The 20,616-nt window shown below is 51.4% G+C and overlaps 1 protein-coding gene and 1 long non-coding RNA gene across 9 annotated transcripts in view; one reads left to right on the top strand and one right to left on the bottom strand.

Moving 5' to 3' along the window:
- On the bottom strand, positions 15,755-20,027 carry LOC107987228 (uncharacterized). Of its 2 annotated transcripts, none has more exons than XR_001751729.2 (2): positions 19,449-20,027; positions 15,755-19,406 (listed from the first exon to the last, which is right to left on the bottom strand). It is a non-coding gene; the product is annotated as an uncharacterized LOC107987228 (long non-coding RNA). The 2 variants fall into 2 exon arrangements; XR_001751730.2 differs by having other exon boundaries at positions 19,470-20,027.
- Positions 20,087-20,616, top strand: part of PCSK6 (proprotein convertase subtilisin/kexin type 6) — a 185,775-nt gene continuing 185,245 nt past the window's right edge. For all 7 annotated transcript variants that reach the window (NM_001291309.2, NM_138319.4, NM_002570.5 and 4 more), the window contains exon 1: positions 20,087-20,420. In NM_001291309.2, the coding sequence (NP_001278238.1) occupies positions 20,124-20,420 (297 nt within the window). In that variant the 5' untranslated portion in view covers positions 20,087-20,123. The remainder of the gene's footprint in view (positions 20,421-20,616) is intronic.

Below are 20,616 nucleotides of genomic sequence, written 5' to 3'. Positions count from 1 at the left end.
AGCAGAAAAGAAAAATTTAGTAGAAACATAGAAACTTGAGGAAATTTCCAAGTAATAAAAATGATTACAACAAAGAAATGGAAAATATAAGCTAAAAAGCAAGAAAATTAGACTAAACAGGAAATACATCTTAAATAACAGGGCTTTCAAACACAGAGAAAAAAAATGGAAGGGAGCAATTCACCAAAGAAACAATTCAAGAAAAAGTTCCTGGATCCCAAAGACATCAATTTCTAGGCTGAGAGGTTCACCAAGTGCTCAGCACAATGAATGAAAACAAAGCCACACAAAGCACATTCACACGAAGTTTCGAAACATTGGGAACAAAGAGAAGGTACTAATGCTCTTTGAAAGAAAGAACAAGTCGCATACAAAGGTCTAGAATTAGTTCTGCGTTAGGCATCTCTACGGCAATGGTGAACACTAAATAATAGAGCAAGGCCTTCAACATTCTTATTGAAAATGATTTCCAAATTAGAATTCTATATCCTCAGCCAAAGTAGTAACGTGCTCTTGGGCTAGAATAAAGACTACTGGGCGTTTTCAGAATGCAATGTCTCAACTTTTAAAAATTGTTCCTGCTTTTTTTTTTTTCTCAGGAAGGAGACTTTTTTCTGTTGAGGAATTTGGAGATGGATTTGTGATAGGTACATAGTGAAACCAAACAAATGGGATAAAGGTTGACTCCAGTGAAAACGAAAACCATATCAGAAAATAAAGGAAATTAGAATGCATATAGCTACAGCCTCAAATCGTATTTCCATGGGCCTAATAAAATAAATGCTAAATATGATTTGCCCTATAATTGTGCCACTCTATTAGAGGAATGGGATGGAAAAGAAATATATTTAAGGGTGTGGGAGTAGAGTAGAAAGCTAAACCCTTATTGTCCATTGCCTGAAGTAAGCATACTATATTTAAAACTAAAAATATTAATAAACAGGAATTTAAACCTGCTATTTAGAAATTTGGAGGCAAATACAACAAAACTAAAAGCATTGAAAGTCATGGCTTCCAGAGAGTGGGAGGAGAACTGCTAATATCACTTGCAGATTTATAGAACTGTTTAATTTTTTAAATTATATAAATGTACACTTTATTAAAATTAAAAGAATAGAGACATGATAGAACAAAGTTTTCCAGAAATGAAGAAAGATAATTATCTCTAGACTAAAAGATGCTCCAAGTTCCAAGTAGAATAAAGAACAAAAGACTTATGCCCTGACACAGACTCAAGATATTTTAGAACGTTGAACATAAAGAGAAATTCCTAAAAGCTTCCAGGAAACAAGAAAAGTCATTCTCAAAAGACCAAAAATAATACTGACCTCAGACATCTTGTCAGGAACATTGAATACTAAGAAGAAAAAAAATTCTGGGAAATATGATTTAAAACCCAGAATTCCATACGTAGAAAATCGTTAAGCACGTGAGCAGGAGTTTTAGTTTTACAAGTACTCAGAGAATTTGCCTCCAAAGCACCCTTTCCTTTCTATTACTGCAAAATATAGTCCAGCAAAAAGCTTCAAGAAACAGTATGATTAAGAGGTTTGGTAATTCTGAGGATCTGACAAAAACACAAGTAGTGCAACTTAAAATCCCAAGAAAAACAAAAAGCTATTTAGGAGATTTATGTCTGTGTCTAAATATAAAGGAAATAAAGATGTGACATGAATTTAATAATTAACCTTTCATGTCACTTATGGTTAATGATACTGGACCTAGAGAAAAATAAATAAAATCCTAACATACTGATTGACTTTGAAGGAACAATATTTACAAAGTCATAATTATGTACACAGTGTTTATTTTTTTAATATATTTTTAGAATCAACTGGTGGACAAAACATGAAAACCTTATGTTTATAAGACAGTATATAAAATGATCAACTCTGACAGTATAAAAGTTAAGGTATGGCTAAGAGAAACTGATCTATTATCTGAAAACAATAGAACAAGAAGTGATAGATAAGAGATTGCAAGTTGGAAAGGCAAACAACAGAAAACTAAAAATAACAATGTAACTGTGAAAATTTAGGGGAAGATGTAGTGTAAGTCAGCTAAAGCCTTGTGTTTCATGGCAAGGCGTCAACAGAGCCTGAGTTGAATATAGACATAGAGATGTCAGGATGCCATGTAGACTGAGGATGCTAGCCACTAGGAACACAAAATGCAGAAACGCTGAAAGGTGGTGGTCTCTGGGACTATGGGTAGGACAAGGGAATGGAGTGGATGATTTTTGCTTTAATAATATGCCCTTCTCGACCATGCATACTCTGAGAAACATTTTTAATGCTTTAAATGAATAAACTAAAATGTTGAATTGTGAATACATTTATGTTCTGAAAACCAGATATGAAAACATGCTGATAGTGAAAAGCAAGTCTTTAGGCAATCAAGACAGGAGGATATTCAGCATCTGTCATGCATTTGTCATCAGGTTCCAGAATGGTGGCCTTGCCAGAGGGTGGGAACAGTCCCTTCCTCATTAGTACTTCCAGCCCCAAAATTCAGCCCCAAAATTAAAGATAAGCTTACAGTGGATATGAAGTATTAGTTTGATGGCAGTGTGCGTGTGTGTGTGTGTGTTGTATTAGTGTGATGGCAGTGTGCGTGTGTGTGTGTGAAGTATTAGTTTGATGGCTGTGTATGTGTGTGTGTGTGCAGGAAAATTACAAGAAAAATAAAGCATCTGAATTTTGAATCAAAATTGCTAAGTTGTTTTTGTAAAATGTGATTCAGAAGATCTAAAAAATATCAGGTATAAGAGATGTTCTATTATTATGACCTTTAGCCATAGAGCCAACTGGCAGGTGTGAGCCTCCATTCTGATGGAATTCTGCAGAAGCCTCTGGTCAAGAGAGGCCCTGGTGAGCTGTGCTGGGCTTATGAGAGAGTCGTGTGATGGGGCCCAGTTTCATTCAAGAGACTTAGTATCCTTTTTCTTTCTCTTTTACATAACCAGTTCGACACCGCTGGGTGCCAACAGACAGACCCTCTGTTGAGTTGTCCACCTGCTTTCCACCTGGCAGGTGCCAATAGCCTCTTGTTCTCCCAGTTCTCCCGGCCCTACCCTTGCGGGAGAAGGATACTATTTTGTATTACTTCTTATGAACATTGTGAGCAAAACGTTCCACGGACCACCCAAGCAGTGCAGACCACAGGCCATGTCCCAGGGACCTGGAAGCAGCAAGGACGCAGGTGCAAACACCCAGGGTGAGCCTACCCCATCCTTCACACCCAGGGTGAGCCTACCCCACGCCTTCACACCCAGGGTGAGCCTACCCCATCCTTCACACCCAGGGTGAGCCTACCCCATCCTTCACATCCAGGGTGAGCCTACCCCATCCTTCACACCCAGGGTGAGCCTACCCCATGCCTTCACACCCAGGGTGAGCCTACCCCATCCTTCACACTCCGAGTGAGCCTACCCCATCCTTCACATCCAGGGTGAGCCTACCCCATCCTTCACACCGACTACCCTGGCAGCCATGTTGCAAGAACGATGAGGGCAGCCTGGGGAACCCCCCAAATTTCAGCATCAGTGAGTGCTCTGACCTCACTGATGACAAGGTCCCACAGGTCACTTACACGTGTCACATAGAAAACGTTCTCCTGTGACCAAAAATGCAAGCCATCTGACAAAGAGTTTCAGGCTATTTTCAGTATCATTATCTTCTCCGCCAACACTGACAAATTTACCATGGTCGTGGTTTTCTTCGTTTTAATGACTGTTTGGTTGTGTTTTCCTTTGGGGATGGGGGCTGGTGGCGCTGCTGGCATCTGTGGCAAGGCCTCGAGGGAAGTGGATTTCTGCGGTGGTCACTGTGCCTTGCTGCCTTGTTTAAAATGAGACTTCATGGGACACACACAGCAAAGATGAAAGAGCAGAACCGTGGCATGTGAGGGACGATTAGGGCCAGGCTGGGCCATTAAGGCCTGGTCTAAAAGGTGCCCAGACACCTATTGACATGACACGTCCTAACTGCTCCCCAGACACCAGGATTAATCCACTGTGTCAGTTTGCTTCGTGTCCCTAATGTCTGTCAGCAGGAGCCTCTTCGTGCCTGATGGAGCTGGGGAGGGGAGGATGTCAAGGTGGATGCTCTCGGCTGGAAAAGCTCTCCAATGATGGGCTGTAACGAAAGTTTGTGACATTTCGATAGCTCTTTGCCTTTTAATGTGCGCATCTGGGGACAGCCCGTTACCTGCTTTTCTGCCTTGATCCATCATTTTTCTCTGGACCAAATCTCAAAATAATACAGCACAGAAAGAACTCTGGGTTCGAGATGGCAAGTGCAGCCTGCTCTCTGCTAACCCGACAAAGTGTTGATGAGTCAGAACTTCTGGGTAGCACACAACACTGCTGTGTATGGCTGACAAAAATGTCCAGCTTGTAAACAATTAGGAAACAGTTCAATAAAATATTCATGGGCACCATTTAACCCATGACTCAGGCAGACTCCTTACAATCTTGACACTGATAGTCTGAACATTGTCATTCTTCTACATGTCTTCAGAAGGGCTGGTAAATATTGAACTACAGTTAATAGGTTCTTGGATAAGCCAGATTCGCAGGCCCTTAACCTCACGCCTTCTCCCTTTACCTCCATGACATGATGTTTGAACCTAGAAGACAGGGTTGTCGACATCTTCTCCACCGTGCGGAGCCCTCGGTGCCAAGAGTGGTGGGTGTCCCCGTGGCCTCCCGCCTGGGGTCTGAGCTGCCGCACGATCCATTTGTCACCTCTGAAGTGTATCTCACCGTGGGCACTGGGAGCAGCAAATGGTTGTTCTGTTCTTACCTGCTCGATCCACACAAAGCTGGGAAGGTTCATGGGTGCCTAATCTCACAGGACAGACATGACGACACTGTGAATTCACACTGGGTCTCATCAGGGATTTCACTGTTCTTCCAGAGAGAGCAAGTGTCTTACTGACCACCAGAAAACATTTTTGGGGGAGGGGGAAAATAACTAGAAAGTGGAGGAAAGGTAAAATAGAAAATTCAAGGACAAATAAGATGCTAAAGAAAATGATGAAGTAGAATGAATGAGAATTGCTTGGAGGGGGTGCCTCTGGCTTGGATGGCTGTCCATTTTGCTGAGGTGTCTGGGGTTGACCACGGGAGGAGGGAAGAAAGCTGAGCGGGGAAGACCAGGCATACCTAACTAATGGTGTGGGTGATGTGATATTCCTGCTAGCCCTCATCGGTCCTGGGGCGTGGCTCCTTCTCGCCTTTGCTCTTCCTGTCTTGGAGCGGATTGAGGCTGGGACGAGAAGAGAGATGGGCCAGCAGAAGGGCTCTTCCCCCATTCCCCCAAACCCTTCCTGAAATACCAGCTGGCAAAACTTCTCGAATGTGCAGTTTCGGAACTATCACAGCTTCCATGAATATCAGATGTTCCATTTAGTTCTTGATCTCTCTCCCCTCTGTCTCTTTTGTCACTTTTATTTATTTTGTTGTTTTAATCTTCCTGGAGGCCTAATGGGCTGTATTTGAGATCAGTAGGATACTTTTAATGGTTTAAGTTGCCATGATTCCAGGCCCCAAGAGAAAATGTTCTGTATTTTTTCAACCAAAACCTGTGCCTGCCACTTCTTTTTAAAATATTAAGGATGCATTTCCCTAGCCAGTCCCAGCTTGAGCATTTGACCCTCCTGCCCACCCAGAGTTGCCAGATTTAGCAAATAATAATACAGGACAGACACTCAGGTAAATTTGAATTTCAGATAAATAAAAAATAATTTTATGAGTGCAAGTGTATCCCAACTTTTGTGTGAGGTACGCTTAAACCAAAAGTGTTTTCATTGTTTATCTGAAATTCAAATTTAACTGGGCATCTAGTATTTATTTGGCAATCATACCAGCTGATTCCTCAACCATTCTTTGGAAACATTTAATCCCAAGTTCTTACACAGCAGACACATTTAATCATACTTACTGCCTAGCAAGTATACATACTTTTTTTTTTTTTTTTGAGACGGAGTCTTGCTCTGTCACCCAGGCTGGAGTGCAGTGGCGCGATCTCAGCTCACTGAGAACTGGGTGAGTCTCACTGGGAACTCCGCCTCCCAGGTTCACGCCATTCTCCTGCCTCAGCCTCCCGAGTAGCTGGGACTACAGGCGCCCGCCACCACGCCCGACTAATTTTTTTGTATTTTTAGTAGAGACGGGGTTTCACTGTGTTAGCCAGGATGGTCTCGATCTCCTGACCTCATGATCTGCCCGTCTCAGCCTCCCAAAGTGCTGTGATTACAGGCATGAGCCACCGTGCCCGGCCCGTATTCTTTGTTCATGATGTCTCTACCTGGATGCATGCAGGATGTCTCCGACAGTGAGCTTCCAAAGGAAGTCCCTCTGAGTGGCTTAGAGGGCTGTACTCACAGTAGGGGCTGATGGCACAGATCGCTTTAGGAAGGTGGTGAGTGGGAGGTGGTGGTGGGGAAAACAAGACTTACCGGTTTACCAGAGGCAGGGATCAGGGTGGGATCGGGAGGGAATAGGATTTGGCGCTGTTTTCACTGAATTCTGGAATTGTGGTCTGGCTCTGGGAATCACCTGGGAGGTCAGCCCCTGGAGGGGAAAGGCAGCCCCTCCTCAACGTCTGCGACAGGTGCCCTCCTACGCTTCCCAACCCCTCCCAGTGTGGGCAGTTCCCCAGCTCACAGGCAGCACACGCAGGTGGAAACAGCTCTACCTGTCGGCTCACCCTCTGGCGAAATTCTACTTTCAGACCAGGAAAGCTGAGAGGGGTGGAGGGTGCCTCGCTGAAGTCACAGTGCTCGGGCCAGGCCTTCCCATGCCTCACCTTTCTCCACTGGACCCCGCTTGTTCTTTTCGGCCTGTGAGAAGGCCACAAACAGTTGTTACTTTTTCAAGTCAAAGAGGGTATGCGTCCTGAAGACATGATCAGAGATGTCATTAAGTGTGCGCGTGTATAGGGCGGAGTGAGGCCCAGGAGGTGGAGTGGTGCGGCTCTCAGGTCACGGACATGGAATTCCTGACTCTGCCTGCTCCCGGCGGCCTGCTGGCCTGTCAAGGGGAGAGCACAGTGAGTGACAAGAGGATTTATTTCCACCAGCCAGAGAATGGCTCATAATTTACAGCCCGCTGAGCCAGCCTCTACCACGGCATTAGAGCCTTCCTTTTGTAGACAGTAATAAATTGTCTTATCCCCGGTGCTGACATAACATGCTCCTTTTTAAGTGCGCCATAATTTTCATTTTTAAGGGAATATTCATATTGGATGGCAGAGCTCATGGGCATCTGAATACTTCTCTGGAGAGAAGCCTTTTTTTTTCTTTTTTAAAAGAAGATATAATTCAGCTCCTAAATGCCACTAGCAGGGATAGGCTTGACTTCTAAAGCGACATTAGGGGCAGAATTTGGGGACATTGTAGACCCTTCATAGACAGTGACTTGCCCCTCATCAGTAGGCATCAAAAGGATCAAGCCCCTGCAGGATGCACGTCCTTTGACTGTCCGCCTTGCTGCCTTTGCACGATGGTGGCCAGGGAGCTGGGGCGGCCTCGGGCTTTTCCATCCCAAAGGACGGGCTTCCCCGCCACCAGGGGGACTCACTCCCTTGAGCTCCCCCTGGCAGGAGGGGCCTGGGGGTGACAGGCAGACAGTAAAGGAGTCTGAAGCCTGCCCGGGGGGTTCCCAGCTTGGGATCATGGGGCTGCCGAGTCCGGGCACCGTGTCTCTCTCCTTCTGCATCCTCCAGGGGGCAACAGTGCAGCCTGCTGATCCCCAGTGAGCGGTTCTCCCCGGGGCACAGTCCTGGAGGGGGATGCCACAGATGGTCCCTGGTCACCAGGGAGTCCTCGGGCCTGTCTCCTGTTTCTACCGACCCGTGGGGATGGGCCAGCCGGGGTGTCCTTCTCCCCTCCCGTCAAGGTTCTTGTGCCTGGGTCCTTATCTGAGGATGCCCTCACGGCGTGGCAGGAAGAGATGGGGCCGGGTGGCTGCCCAGGCTCCTCCCTCTGCCTTTGCCTTGTGCCTTCACAGCCACCCATTCCAGAACCCTAACTGTTCACCTGACAAGACCTCAGGCAAAGCCCTGGCTCCCTCGGAGGATCGGGGCTTTCTTGTTTGTAAAACAGGACACGGACTTTAGGAGCTCAGACACGAATGCATGCAAAAGCCTTACAGAGGGTTCAGGAGAGGTGAGTTTTTGTCTCCTCCTCTGCTCCTTCTTTCTTCACTGCCTGTTTCCCTCCTTTCACCAGGCACGTAGGGGAAGGAGCTGAGGTCCCCAGGCTGTGCAGTCCTTCTAGGTCTGGGCTGTGGAGGGAGAGGAGAGGCTGGCCTGGGGGTCTCTGCTGGGGGAGATACAAGTCCGGCCTGTGGGGTTGGCCAGCCTGGGGCATGTCTGTGTTAACTCAGACACACCCACACAGACACTTCCAGAACCAGGCATGTTTACAAGTAGCAATGAGGTATTGCTAAACCTCTGGCCTGATGAGAACAGCTCTCACATAATGCTGTCTGAGTGCCAGGCCCAGGTCCAGGCACTGTACACTAATTCATTTAAGGTGGACACAAATATGCCCATTTTATGCTCAGCTGGGAAAACTGAGGCCCAGAGAGGTCAATGGACTCATCTGAGGTCAGGCAGCTGGGAGGTGGCCGAGCTGGGATGAGAACCCAGGTGGTCAGGGCTGGAGCCTCTTCCCTAGCCACAGTGCCCCTCTGCCTCTTCTCCTCCTGCCTGAGCAATCCCACTTCACTTGGACCATCCCCTGCCTATTCCAGGAGACAGGACTTGAGTGTCACTTCCCCTCCTGCTGTCTTGTGGCCCTGCCATGCACTGTGGCAAGTCTTCTGTTATCTTCTGCCTGAGAGGCCGTGACTAAGAAGGTTCCAGACTTCCCGTCTATCAAAGGTGAGGACTGAATTAGACTTTCTTCTTGACAGTGGTGATCACCTGTGACCTGTGACTGGTACATGCTCAGGAGGGAGTATACTGTTCCACTTTGCTGATTTCTAATGAAAGATTACTTTTACAGGATGGAGGGAGAAAGGGCTCCGAAGGAGAAGGAAGAAGAATAAGGGCATTGGCCTCAGTCCAGATGAAAAGACCCAGATGCAAAATTATTTGGGCCACATATGTGTTGTTTGCTTATCAAATTTTCAACCTTTGAAAAATCACAATATTGGATGGTGGGAATCAGTAGCATTGCTGGAGTTCCTGTGGGTGGCAGGAGTTGGACATTGTGGCAGGTGACCCTGCAAAGGATAAACACAGAACCTGCAGAGGGTAAAGGATTTCCCAAGTCTCACTCCTGGAGGGAGGGGCACAGGCATGAGCAGCCTATCGGGCCCCATGTCATGCAGCTATGTTCTCTGCTGCTGGTGAGCTTGGCATCGAAAGAAAACATAGCAGGAATGATTTTGTCTGGGTTGGGGATTTGGGGGAGTTTAGACTATAAATAGTGAGGAGGATATAAAAAGCCTTAAGAGGATTTTTGGAAGCCCTAAATCCACCACATAGACCAAAGCAAGTTAACAGGAACCACTTCGGTTTTAGTGAGGTCTAAATGTGACTCAGCATAGTGCCCTCCCCTCCACTGTTCCCTTCCAGCTGTCGTGGTTCACGTGTCCGCTGTCACCACAACCCTTGCCAGCATCTGCCAAACCAAGGGCACGTGTGTCAGGAGGTCTGCTGCCAGCATGCCAGCTGCCAGGTGCTGCCTAGCCTTGAATTACGGCCTGGCTCACTCCCTAAGGGAAGGCATCATTGGCAGCCTCTTCTGCAGCAGAGAAAACGGAAGCATAGGAGGGTAGGTGCCTGGTCCAGGGTCACACAGCCAGCAAGTAGTGGGCTGGATTCCACACTCAGCCGAGGCCCACTCTGCTGATTCTAGCATAATTTCTTCAGGATCACCTTTTGAGTGGACCTCAGCTGCGTGTGGGAAGGAACCTGCTTGCCTCTGTGCCTTGCTTCTTGGACACCTGCGGTCCCAGCCTTCTCTTTTCTGTGGGCCCTTATTTCATTTAATACATGGACTCATCATAAAACCCCTTTGCACTCCTGTAGCCCCAGCTCAGGAAGCCTGAAGCCCACCCCGGTCACCGAGGTGCTCAGAATCGATGGAGATCCAGAGTTGAAACCTCCCTACGTTTGGTCCTGTGTCCCCAGGGTCTGCTGCCGGCTCCTAGATACCTACAAACAGGTCTTTACTGTTGACTCTTTTAGGAACATCACTGTGGCCTAATAGTGAGGGAGTGACATTTAGGATGATGGCCGACCATCTCATTTATAGGAAAAACCCAGGGCTCTAACACATATTTTAAAAATCACTGCACTGCTGGCACAGCCCTGCCACCCAGCATTGTATTAGCCAACTCCTTCCCAAGGCTCTGGGAGAGGCTGCAGTGGGAACATTCCAGATCAGAGGTTCTGCCTTGTTTAAATAGGGGTGGAGCGAGATTGCCAGGTCTGAGGCTTCATCTTGCCAGTGAGAAATGGGGGTGCAGGGAGCTGTTTTAGATGGGGGTGCAGGGAACAGCTGCTGAGGCCTCACCGTGAGTCACACACAGGGCTGGCAGTGAGGCCACAAATCACAGTTGGGCCCCCAAACATAAGGTCCTACAGCCAGGGAGAGCCATTCTGCCTGGAGACCGAGAAGAATCCAGTCAGGAAGAAATAGTGGAAGCTAAGGTGCCCGGGCCTGAAGGGCCAGTCCGTCTGGGAGCAGCAACTGGCCCTATGGTGGGACAGGAAGAGCAAGAAAAACAGTGCCAGCTTGCTAAAGGCCGTGCCCCTGAGTTTGATCTCCACCCTGCTGGCTGAGAAGACTCACTGATGGTCTAAGTCGTCTCATGGGAGTGCCTGGGAACCAAGACTCTGGAGACGGCAGGGAGGGTGATGAGGGGCAGCGGCTGGAGCTAGAGAGACCACCTGGGAAGTGAACACCACAGACAGTGCGACAGGGCCCTCGGCTAGGGTGGGAAGCCTGGGGACGGGTGAGGGAACTGGTGAGAGGTGGGAGTCAGGCCGAGCCCACACTGGGTCAGGGCATGAAGGCCACAGCATGCCCTTGAGGCCAGGGTCTGGTCCGGGTGGGGGTGAGGAGGTTAGAACAGGCTGCTCTGGATTTCAGAGGCCACAGAGAGTGGAGATATTGAGTAAGGAGGTGAAGATGTGGGACCCAAGGTTCCCGGCCTCTTGAAGACAGCGTGGGGCTGCGGGTGCAGGTCAGAAGGCCTTGGAGGCCAGGTGGGTTGGAGCTGTGGGAGTGCCCCTCCTCCGCTTTCCACCCTTCTTGGGATGGAGTCCAAATTCTTGCCAAGGCTGATGAAGCTGTCACAGCCTGGCCTCTGGCCGTGCCTCTCATCCCCTCTCCCACTACCCTCCTGTCACTGCCAATGCCCCTGCTGCCCTGCCTGCCCTCTAGCTCCTCCACCACACCAGGCTTCCTCCTGCACCAGGGCCTTTGCACGTGCTGATCTCAAGTGGGCCCTCTGCCTGGAGCTGGGGGAGGGAGGCCTGCACCCAGGGGTGGGAGAAACTGTGCTCCTTCATCCCTGAGTCACCAACTCCCTGCATTGCAAATCCTCAGTGTGATCTCTGTTTTCTTGCTTAGTCCTGACTGATGGTCCACCCGTCTGGCTATCTCCTGTTTATATCTTCAAATTCAGGTTAAAAGTCACTTCTTCCAGGAAGCCCTAACCATCTCGTTCAATGCTCTTCTCGTATCTGACAGCCTCCACTGTGTGCTTGGGGGAGGGTAGAGAAAAATCTTGGATTTTTCTCTGCGTGAGGTTGGAAGCCATGGAGGAATTTAGAGCTGAGGAACGGCCTGATCTGACTTCTATTTTCACACATCCTCTGTGTTGAGGATTGATGGCAGGAGGCATGGCCAGAACAGGGAAGGCATTTAGAAGGCTGTTGAGTTTCACCAGGTGACAGGTGGGGGTGGCTCGGCCCAGGGACGTAGCAGGGGGCGTGGTGAGAAGTGGCCGGACTCTGAACGGATTTCAAAGTAGAAACAACCAGACTCAATGACAGTCTAGACACGGGTGTGCTGGGGTGAAGGGAGGGGTTAACCATGACCTCAGGCTTTAGCCTGAGCAGTGGAAATGTGGAGTTGGCATTTGCCGTAATGGAGAAAGCTGGGGACAGGGCAGGGCGGCGGGGGCGTTTTGTGGTGGGGACGGGGAGGACCAGGAGCTCAGCTTGTAAAGTGCTTTAGACATCCAAGGAGAGAAGCTGCCGGCCGCCTGGAGTTTAGGAGTCCAAGCCAGCGACGGGCTCCGAGAGTCACCCACACGTAACGTGCACCTAAAGTTAGAGAATGACTGAGAGCGTCGCGGGAGTGAGGGTGGGTACAAAAAAGAAGCCACCCAAGAGTCGGGGCTCGGGGCACCCCGATGCTAAGAATGAACCAGCGATGGAGACTGAGGAGAGGCGGCCACACAGGTGAGAGGAGAACTAGGATAGCAGGGGCCGCTTGGCAGCCACAAGCGGAATGTGCTTCCAGGACAAGGGGTGTCAGCCGTGTCAAAGGTGCAGGAAGGCCTCCAACAGGAGGTCAGAGAACGGCCCCCTGGAGTTAGCAGCGGACAGGCTGCGGGGGATGGTGATGACAGCGTGGGTGGGCTTGAGTGCAGGAGAGACTGAAATAGTGGGTGGGGAGACTTGCTTGAGGAGTTTTGTGTTGCTAAAACGGGAAGAATGGGAGAGTAGCTGGCGAGAGTCCTGTGGGTTTTTAAAGATAGATGGTATAACCACATGCTTGTACGTGCATGGAGGTAACTCAGCAGGAGAAAGGGTGATACTGTGAAGCGGCGGCTCTGGGGAGCTGGGGTAGCTTGGGATCCAGCAGGTGAGGGAGGGGAGGTCCTCAGTGGGCCCCACCACCTGCGGCAGTGCTGTGAGGCAGAGCCCGGCGCAGGTGTGGGTGGAGGAGGAAGATCTCTTCCGAGAAAGGAGGTAAGAAGGAAGCAAGGCTGTCAGCTGAGGGTGAGTATGGAGGACGCCAGTTGGACAGGAGGGGTGGGCGTTTCGAGAGACTGCCAGAGGTGTGTAATGATGGCTGCCAGGCGACAGCAGCCGGGGTGGCTGTGTTTCTTCTCCACCTGCATCCAGCCGAGTGGAGGGAGAGGGAGAGGACGGCATGGAGAGGCCCGAGAGTGAAGAGCGGCGTCATGTGACCTTTCCTGGAACCCCGGGGAAGTGAAGGCAGGAGGTCAGAGGTGATGTGAAGGGGCGGCAGGGGCAGGAAGGCGTAAGAAGCCTTCTCAGAGCCGGGTGGGGGAGCTCTGGCACACGTGCAACTAAGGGGAAGGATCTGGGGACAGGAAAAGATTAGAGGGTTAGGAGTTTGGGGAACTGCCAGAGCATGACCCTGCAGAGGGCAGGATTCCCTGGGGACCAGGGCACCAAGGGAGGGGCAGCTTTGGAGAGGGACAGGGCAGGGGGTGCAGAAGCAATGGTGTTTGTGCCTTCTGTGCTCTTGAGGAAAGAGAGCAGCTAAAGGGCGAGGACTTCAGCTGCAATTCCTCAGCCCCACCCAGCCCGGCCACTTCGTGTACACCACAGCCCAGCAGGTCCCCCGCAATGCCTATTTTCCCATGATGTATTTCTGCGCTCAGCTTCTCAAAACCAGACTTTTGTAGAGAGGGATAACCTGCCAGCTCTTCTCCTCTGCTTGTCGCCGCGAGGACCCCACTCCCATCCTGTCTTCTGCTCTGCTCTCTTTGCCGGGACTAGGGAGGGAGCCCCAGCTCCCAATTCACTCTCACTCGGGAAGAACACTTAGGCCACAAACCCGAAACCCACCCTGGAGCCAAGGGGTGTCTTCACACAGGAAAAAGGCACACCCCACTGCTGGGCTTGTGGACAGTGCAACGCCATCCTTGCGCTGCCGGGCGTGGGGACAGGGAAGGTGGGGAAAGTCAGAGTCACCGCTGCTTAGGCTGATTTGTGTTGTATTTAATTTGTGGAACACATTAATTCTAAATAATACTTGAGCCTTCCTTCCCCTTCCCTCTTGTTCTTCCCCTCCTCCCTTCCCTTCCCCCCCTTTCCCTCCTTCCCTACCTCCCTTCCTTTCCACTTTTCGATAAATATTTGCTTGGAGTCTGCTGTGTGCCTGAGAAAATCTATATGAAGGTGATCCAACAGAAACAGAGAGCAAGAGGTAGACCCCCAAGGAACTCGCCCAGCAGCCTCCACAGTGCCGCCCCTCGCTAACAGCATCCTGGTTTTGCTCAATCTGGGGCAGCAATGTGCTCAGGGAGCGTTCCCCAGGAGAAGAGCAAAGACTGATCGAAAGCAACCTGAGCCGCCCTGCTCACCTTGTCTACGATTACCTGGCAGCAGAGGGTGGGCCTGTGACCCAGATCTGGTAGGTGGGGCCTGAGAGGAAGTGGACTGGAGGGTTAGGTGCTTCCTCCCCAGGGAGATGAAGACATTCAAGAGATGGAAAGTCGCTCCTGCGCTTCTTCCCTGGAGGCTGTCTTGAGAGGATATGATCCTCCCATCTGTGGCAGTCATATAAGAATAGGAGAAAGGCAGGTAAAGTATAGAAAAGCTACCTTGAGTCCCAGCATCACTGAGCTGCTGAATTAACAACCCTGGGTCCACTAATACCAGTTTCTTGTTTGCAAAATAATGAATTGTCCTTATTGTCTGCACTCATTTCAGTTGGGCACTCTCATATTTTGTAACCAAAGGCATCTTACCTATTGCAACAAAGAAGAAATAAAGAACTACAATTTTTCTATCACATGTGGCTCTGAGCCTCCTGGATGCTGAGGTGAAAAGGGAAACGAGATGAATTGCCAAGCTCTCATTCTTAGTCAGGAAGAGCTTCTCAGGGAGTTTCAGCTTTTTTGCCCCTAAATTCCCTGTTTGACACTAAATTTCCACATGGGAGTTTAGGAAAGGAACACTGGGATACATAACTGCTAGACCCACGGTAATCGTTTCACAGGAGAAGCAGTTTTCAAGGGCTCTTTCTTAAGAAAACTAGGATCTAGATATAAAGAGAGTTTAAGCAGAGAGGAGAGTAGAGTGGGAGCTGCTCCATGCCCTCCCCACCCCCGATAGTCACATGTCCCCCCACCCCAGCAGGGAGTAGAGCTCAGTATGAATGAGCAGATACTGAAGAGACCGCTGAAAAACTGTGTACACCGAGCAGAAGGCAGAGCCCAGAAGGACGCAGAGCCTGAAGCTGCAGGGGAGCAAAGGCCCCTGACCCACCACTGCTATGGGCAGCAGCTGTGAGTGGGATTTGGAGTGAGTAAAAAGGAGAGAAAAGAAAAGCGTGAAAGGGAGAGAAGAGGACCTGGCTGGGGAAATCCCCGGTTTGTAGAAACCTGGGCTTGGGTAAAGGTTTGTTGGGGACGGTGGGAGGGGCTGGTGGGAGGCAGAGGTGTAGTCTGCCCCGGATTCTCCATGTCTCAGGCCCACTGGCTGTGTGCGACCTGCATCACACCTCCTGTTCCTGGGGACCTTGGGTGTTTATCTGGGCTCAAGAAGCACTGTCAGGTCTAAGGAATGACTGTACGTCCCAACAGTATCTCACCTCTGAGTGCTGTCTGGCCCAAAGTATCCGAGGATTCTCCCGATAGAAATGTATTTGAAAATTCAACTGAGCCAGGCAATTACTTTGAAAAAGCCTTTACCTTGCTGAGGATTCACAACAGATTTTCATGAAAAATGCTGTACTCTCTGTACCTTTTCTGTAGGATATCAATAGATGCCACACTCACACATACACAGACACAGCAAATATATTTGGAAGAATTCAACAAGTTTCTTTACTGCAATATGTCTTGAAGGCATTAATATCATATGTCATCAAATCTAAGATACACCCTCAATTGGAAGATGTGTCATTATTTAACATATTACTAAGAAAAAAAAAACATCCAAGATGGAAAGTCTCACAGGAGATGCCTCTCTAAAGATGGAACAATGAAAGGCTCACAGGAGATGCCTCTCTAAAGATGGAACAATGAAAGGCTCTACTGTTGGCTGGGCCTGGTGGCTCACGCCTGTAATCTCAGCACTTTGGGAGGCTGAGGCAGGTGGATCACCTGAGGTCAGGAGTTCGAGACCAGCCTGGCTATCATGGTGAAACCCCATCTCTACTAAAAATACAAAAATTAGCCAGGCATGGTGGCTTGCACCTGTAATCCCAGCTACTCGGGAGGTTGAGACAAGAGAATCACTTGAACCCGGACGCCAGAGGTTGCAGTGAGCCGAGATTGCACCATTGCACTCCAGCCTGGGTGACAAGAGTGAAACTCCATCTCAGGAAAGAAGAAGAAAAAGAAAAAGAAAGAGAAAAGAAGGGAAGGGAAGGGAAGGGAAAGGAGAAAGAGAAAGAAAGAAAGAGAAAGAAAGGAGGGAAGGAAGAGAGAGAAGGAGGAGGAGGAGAGGAGAGAGAGGGGAGGGGAGGGAAAATAAAGACTCTACTGTCAGTACAGGGGAAAATGAGAAATAAACCCACCATGGAGAGGAACAGCAAGGAATCATCAGGTTTCTATCTTGGCCCTGGCGAGGGGAGGGAGAAATAGGGAGATGCCCTGCACTGATCATTAGAACCATAAGCTGGTTCTCACACTGGGGTCACACCATTCAGCAGATCCCCAAGGAGTTTCAGGAGCTGTGTCCCCAGATCACTGGCAGAAGCAAAAACAAACCCTCTCTGGAAGAACTCAATTTCAGTCCAGGCCAGTGATGATTGCAAAACACCAACTGTGAGATGTTTCTTGATTTGGGGATGTTAAGATGTGAGAAAATGTGCACCCAGGCATAGATGAGGACAGTGAGCCCTTATCCAGAGAAGGTCAGAGTATTCAGCCCTAACTACTCTATCCCACTGGAGAGCGCCTGGTCAGCAGTGGTCACTGTTGCCACTATTTATGGAGTGCTGACTTCATGCCAGGCTCTGGGTGCCAGGCTCTGCTCACATCAGCTCCTGTCATCCTCATAGCCCCTCTGTATGGGGACAGCAGCGTTACTATTATTTTCAGTAGGGCAAACTGAAGCAACTTTACTGAGGCTGCACATGAGTAAATGACAAAGCTGGGCTTTGAGTCCACGCTCATCTCCGGTATCCTGAAGGTGGTGTCCATCAGCTATTTTTCAAGGGATGCTAGTCTGGCCTGCTGAACCTAGCATATTGCCAAAAATGTAATTGTTCAATAAAGTGTCTATTCCCTACACAGAGGCAATTTCTGCATCAAAGTATGTCTTATCACATCCTAGAAGGCTGTGCAAAGGCTCTTGCTGTCCTGTGGTCTTGGCTGCGTGGGTATTCCCGGACTCTGGCCGGATAATCCCATGCTTGCTGTAAAGGGATCAGTGGTGGGCATGAGAACACATCATTCAATGTCTTCTCCTCTTTTCTGATTTTAGAAGATGTCAGTATAAATATCACAAAACTTCCGAAATATGACCAGGCTCCAATCACCTTTCTGGTCCATGTCCTGTCCCTCCTGAGGCTCGAAGACCTCAATCTAGGAAAGCAGCACCCCCTCCCTCCCCACAGAGCTGTGTGGACCTCGGGGGCCATGTGGAGAGCCAGAGCCTGAGTAATAAATCCCCTCCCTGCAGGACGACTAGCCAAGTTTTATTACAGATCCTATCACAATGAAAAGGGCTGGTACTCCCGTGACTGAGCTAATCCCGTCACCGTGTGAATCAATAGGAAACCCACAGGAGGCGATTCGATTCAGGATGTTCATTTTGGGAAGCTGGTCTTCCTACAACATCGGAGTCAAGATATTGCCGGGCACTTCCATGACAAATGGAAAGTTCAGCCCAAAAGGACCAGACTTGTTAGTAAAATACATTCAGATCTCTCCAAATAAAAATTCAGATGCATTTTAGTCTCCCCTCAGTACAGCAGGCTGAATCCCTTAATCTACCACATTATTATGGAAACACCCTTATCTCTGCCTGTCAAAATCACTGCCGTTGCGGGGGCTCCGTCTTGGGAGGCACCAGCTGCTTTATAATCATTTAGCTGATGTGCAGTTACATTATCTTGAAGCAGGCCACATATTTGAAGAACGGCACCAGATCCAGGATGAATCTGAGGGACATCCGGCCAGCAGGGGAAGGGGAAGAGAGGTAACACATGCTGCCCAGACATACTGCTGCTAGGTGACAATGCAATGCCTCCAACCCCGTCCCCTTGACTCAGGCCAATGTCCCTCTTCTGCAAGCCAGTTGGCTAGGCAGCCAGGGCCATGTCAGGCAGAGGCAGACTGAGAGTTCTGGGTACTGTTTCTGTCCAACAAGTATGGCCGGTTCTCCTCTAGGGCTGCCAGTTTGCATGAGGGCCTCATGTCTCTCCACTGGCAGGGGCTGGTGAGCATCCAGTCCATCTGTAGGAGGGACACACGGTGGCTGTCTTCTGCAGTGTGGGCAGGCCTGGAGTGACGGCCCAAGCAGCTGACCCCACTTGCCAGGGGAACGCAGGGAGGTGAAGTTACATCTAGTGTAGCAAAGCGAAGGCCATGTGGGACGTTGATCTCCAGGTTCCAAGATGGGCCCTTGGCAGGAGCCCTTGTGAACATGGATGTGGCCTGTTGGGATGGGGCCTCCCACCACGCCTCCTGTTCTCCCACCTCCATTAGGGGTGACTCACACCTGAAGAAATGATGAATCACGTGGGTTACAAAACCAAAGGGCTCCTGAGAGCGAGGCTGGAAAGGACCTCGGAAACCATCTATGCAGATCCTGTCCTCAGCCCATCCCCTCTCGCCCCAGCCTCTCACCTCCAGCTGCCAAGCCACAGACTCCAAGTGAATCCTGCACGCTCAACAAGAGACCGCTCCTGGAACTGACCATCAGAGAAGCAGCTTCCTTCCCACCTCAAGGCCTTCTCGACCTTTTTGTTTTACTTCCTATATTAAGCAGGTTGATGGCTTGCTTTCTGGAAGTGGGCCAGTAGGACCAATGGGTCCTGGGAGGGATGACAGAAGAGATCCAGCAGCGATCCTTACCCTTCATAATTCCTTGATTATGGTGTGAACATTTCCATCCATCTCCAGGGTGCTTCAAATCATTATCCACTGGATACCAGGCTGCTCCAGGAAGCAGGGGTGAGGATGATTCAGCTGACTTTCTACTGCTGGTCCCAGCTCAGTGGGTGCTTTTAAGAGTGTACATCGTCTAGTGAACACCTACCACACGGCAGGCCCTGGGCTCATAAAAACGAACGTTTACGGACAGCTTATTGTACAGCAAAAGCTGACCTCATCCTCAAATCAGCCCGACGGGGTAGATGCCACTGTTCCCCGCATTTTGCAGGTGGGGCGCCTGCCCTCAGCCACCACAGTCATTTGCCCAAGATCGCAGCGAGGCTAAGCGGACGGCCTGGGGGTTCACCTGCACGGCCTGGGGGTTCACCTGCGCGGCCTGGGGGTTCACCTGCACGGCCTGGGGGTTCACCTGCGCGGCCTGGGGGTTCACCTGCGCGGCCTGGGGGTTCACCTGCACGGCCTGCCTCCCAGCATGGGCCGCGGCCTCCGCCATGGGCTCCGTGCGGTGGTTTCTCGGGTACACGCTCGTGAGCCCGGCTGATGCGCCACATGCCTTTGCCCCGCTCAATGTGTCCCTTCAGCCAGGCTTGGTCCCGGGCGACCCACTGTCTTCCCCGCAGCTTCTTCTCCCTGGGACCCCGCACACGGGCGAGCCCTCCGTCTAGGGAGGCGGGCGAGGCCGCCAGGCGTCTGAGGCCCCCGCCAGGTGAGTGCGGCCTTCGGGTGTCCGGCCGGTCTAGGGAACCGGGGACTCACCTGAGACGCCGGGGCCTCCCCGCTCCCAGCAGAACTCGCGGGCCGAGGACGCCTCTGGGGCGGCACCGCGTCCCGAGAGCCCCAGAAGTCGGCGGGGAAGTTCCCCCGGTGGGGGGCGTTTCGGGCCTCCCGGACGGCTCTCGGCCCCGGAGCCCGGTCGCAGGAGCGCGGGCCCGGGGGCGGGAACGCGCCGCGGCCGCCTCCTCCTCCCCGGCTCCCGCCCGCGGCGGTGTTGGCGGCGGCGGTGGCGGCGGCGGCGGCGCTTCCCCGGCGCGGAGCGGCTTTAAAAGGCGGCACTCCACCCCCCGGCGCACTCGCAGCTCGGGCGCCGCGCGAGCCTGTCGCCGCTATGCCTCCGCGCGCGCCGCCTGCGCCCGGGCCCCGGCCGCCGCCCCGGGCCGCCGCCGCCACCGACACCGCCGCGGGCGCGGGGGGCGCGGGGGGCGCGGGGGGCGCCGGCGGGCCCGGGTTCCGGCCGCTCGCGCCGCGTCCCTGGCGCTGGCTGCTGCTGCTGGCGCTGCCTGCCGCCTGCTCCGCGCCCCCGCCGCGCCCCGTCTACACCAACCACTGGGCGGTGCAAGTGCTGGGCGGCCCGGCCGAGGCGGACCGCGTGGCGGCGGCGCACGGGTACCTCAACTTGGGCCAGGTGAGTGCGGCCGGCCCCGCGCGCCCAAAACTTTCCCGGCGGCCTCCGGCGCGCGCGAGGGGGGCGCCTCCGCAGTCCTGTCCGCCCGGCCCCGGCCCCGCGCGCGCGTGGGAAGGCTCCGGGACCGCTTGGGGACGGCGGGCGGCCGGGGCGCCCTGCGGGGGGGGGTGTCGCCCGGGGGGGCGCGCGCGGGACA

This window comes from Homo sapiens, chromosome 15 (assembly GCF_000001405.40).
Source record: "Homo sapiens chromosome 15, GRCh38.p14 Primary Assembly".
Lineage (NCBI taxonomy): Eukaryota > Metazoa > Chordata > Mammalia > Primates > Hominidae > Homo > Homo sapiens.
Note: the sequence above shows the minus strand (reverse complement) of the source record. Positions and strands in the feature narration are given on the sequence as shown.